General features: G+C 39.3%; 2 annotated features.

Annotated features, from left to right (window-relative positions):
* Positions 1,108-1,607: an enhancer, noted in NCBI's record as "H3K27ac hESC enhancer chr13:81590919-81591418 (GRCh37/hg19 assembly coordinates)". NCBI's record gives its function as "activates a minimal SCP1, AML or CMV promoter by ChIP-STARR-seq in primed H9 embryonic stem cells {active_cell/tissue: H9 hESC(primed)}" and the evidence as "EXISTENCE:reporter gene assay evidence [ECO:0000049][PMID:30033119]".
* Positions 1,608-2,109: an enhancer, noted in NCBI's record as "H3K27ac hESC enhancer chr13:81590417-81590918 (GRCh37/hg19 assembly coordinates)". NCBI's record gives its function as "activates a minimal SCP1, AML or CMV promoter by ChIP-STARR-seq in primed H9 embryonic stem cells {active_cell/tissue: H9 hESC(primed)}" and the evidence as "EXISTENCE:reporter gene assay evidence [ECO:0000049][PMID:30033119]".

The raw sequence follows: 2,850 nt of genomic DNA, 5'->3' as shown, positions 1-2,850 counted from the left end.
AGGGCATGGGAGAGGTAATTTCATAGCATCCTGTCTCTGCAAATCCCTCTTGAGAAAACTGTAGAGAAATATATTCAATTTAGGGAGAAAATTGACAATACATTATATTATTATTAATTCTAATAAAATAGGACATAGAAATGCATAAAATATTTAGTGAAGTATTTTAAATATATAAAAAGTAATTTATATTGTGTTTTAATCTAATCTGGCTAAAATTATTACTAAAAATATTGAAAAAATCAGTTTGAAGGAAATGTATACAGTCAACATTTTGTGACAAAAATGTTCATATCTATGTATTTTTGGACAATGACAGCTGCAATATTATCATAAATGTTTAGCAATTCCAAGCTTGAGGCAAACTCCACAGATAGAGTAACTGTAATTTATTAGGTGATGGAAAAGGAGAACATGATAGATTGACTTAATCTTTCATTCTACACTTTTCTATGTTTAAGCTCAAGAAGAATGCATCATAAATACCATATGTTTTCCTAACACCTTATACTACTAGTAGCTTTATTTTTTTTTAGTCTAATCTTTACTCTAGAGACTATTTTCAGTTGAGAATCTAATAAATATAAGTTTGAGAGGTATGTTAGCTAATTGTTCACTTTTAACTAAAACACTAGAGGGCACCCTTTCCTTCTGTTAGAACATGTCCTCCTCTTCTAAATTACATGCCGTGGAGACACAAAGGATTGCCAGGTAAAAACAATATTCATTTTATTTTGTATTTTTATGGACTTGCTTTTATATTTAACCGGTAATAATTTTGCAGATCCCAAAAGTCACAGCATATTATTTTAAATGATATTAAGATGATTTTTAACGGAAATGAATTCTAAGCCGGAAATGTCAGTGTCACAGAGCTAAAGAGTCAGATGTCTCCCTAGTGTCACGACAGTGAACAAAAATAAGTCTGTGTTTGGCATGACTTGTGGTGTTTATGTAGTATAATTTATCTTACATTTCTGTGTTTAGGATTAGGAATTATTCGTACTGAATGTGTATTCCTATTTTCTACGTTCTCAAATGAATAGCACACTACTGCTAGGTTAACCCAGTTTGAAACAAAATGCAAACAAGACTGACCTAGAGGAAAGAACAAAAGTTGAAAATTCAGTGAGGACCCACCAAATAACAATTGCCAATATTTATTTAGTGTCTGTTTTTGTCAATCACTTGTGTAAGCATTTTAATTACAATATTTAATTGATACTACATTGAGTCATTATTTACTATTTTCATTCTTATTCAATATAGAATAAAATATAGTATTATAAGAACAGATAAAATAACATGAAACATGTCTTTGAATTGTGCTTTCCCACATCAGAAACCTAGGGCAAAAGGGAGCTGCTACAGCTGCAATTTTGCCTGGGCAAGACTTGCCACCAGGGTCAGCTTGTGCTGACCTGGTCTGCATGTGCTATTACTGGGTTTACCAGCCTGCTCCCCTGAAATAGTGGTGCATCAAGATCCTCTCTGCTCTAACCTCAGGCTGAAATTCAGGCATTTGGAGCATCATTTGCCTAGACCATCAGCCTGAGGTGCCCCACTCTTCCTGGACATAAATCAAGGTATAGTGGGGCCCTCTCTGCTCCATGCTTAGACAGATCTCCAGGCATTTGAAGCAACCACTCAGCTGTATTAGCAGCCCAACTCGCCCCACCCTTCCTAGATGTAGATCGTGGTGAGTGGGATTCTCTCTGTTCCATGTCCAGGCATACCTCCAGCCATCTAGAGCACTTGCTTGCCTGGATGACAGCCTTACCTTCTCCACTCTTCCTAGACATAGATCATGGTGCAGGGAGGAACTTTCTGCTTCATGCCCAGGCAGATCTCCAGGTATTTGGAGTAATCATTCAACTGGTTCATCAGTCTCATATACCCCATTCTTCCTGGGCTTACATCATGGTGCAGTGAGGTTCTTTCTGCTCTAAGCCCAGGCAGAGATCCAGGCATTCAGAACATCTGCTCACTGGGATTGGCAGTCTCTCTCACCCTACTCTTCCTATGCAGAAATCTTCTTGCATAGAAGCCCTCTCTACTCCAACCCAGGCCCATCTCTAGGCATCTAGAGCACCTGTTTGCCTCAAATAGTGGCCTGAGCTACCCCACACTTCCTGTGCAGAAATCCTGGTGCATGGAGGGGACTCCATGCTTGATATACAGGGAGATCTCCAGGCATCTGGAGCACCCACTGTTCTAAAATTAGGAGTTTAGACCAGCCACCATCCCAATGCAGAGAACCTGGGGCCAGAAAGGCTTCCTAAATCCACATTTAGACATATTTGTGGGTGCTTGGTGGCCACCCACTGAATTCTTCCTCAGTTTTGGTGCTTATGCTGGCAATTGGGGGACCTGTAGGTGAACCTGCCTAGGCCAGCCCTGCCTATCTTGGCCCCAGTCCCCCAAGACTAAGCAGGGAGCTAAGACCACTGTGTACTTCATGAATCAGCCCATTTCCTGAGGAAACAGAGAGATTATCTCAGTAACAAGATCAAGTATATACTCAGCCACATTGGCTGCAGCTGGCTGTTACCTGTAAGTACCATCTACTGGCTTGTAGGTCAAACTGCACAGCCCAGTATAAAACCTAGTGACAGACGTGCATAGGGCTATAGAAACAAAGCCAAAAGACCCTGCTCAGTACTCTCAAGAGTCACACCCTATAGTGAAGAGGGAAAGGAAAAGAAAAAAAATATATAGGGAATAAAACAAAAATAAAATATTCACCTGTATGAAAATAATTACAAAATTGTAAATGTTAATGTCCCCAGATGAGAAGGAAACAGCACAAGAATTTGGGCACCATGAAAAATCTAAATGTAATGACACACC

Source organism: Homo sapiens, chromosome 13 (assembly GCF_000001405.40).
Source record: "Homo sapiens chromosome 13, GRCh38.p14 Primary Assembly".
Lineage (NCBI taxonomy): Eukaryota > Metazoa > Chordata > Mammalia > Primates > Hominidae > Homo > Homo sapiens.
Note: the sequence above shows the minus strand (reverse complement) of the source record. Positions and strands in the feature narration are given on the sequence as shown.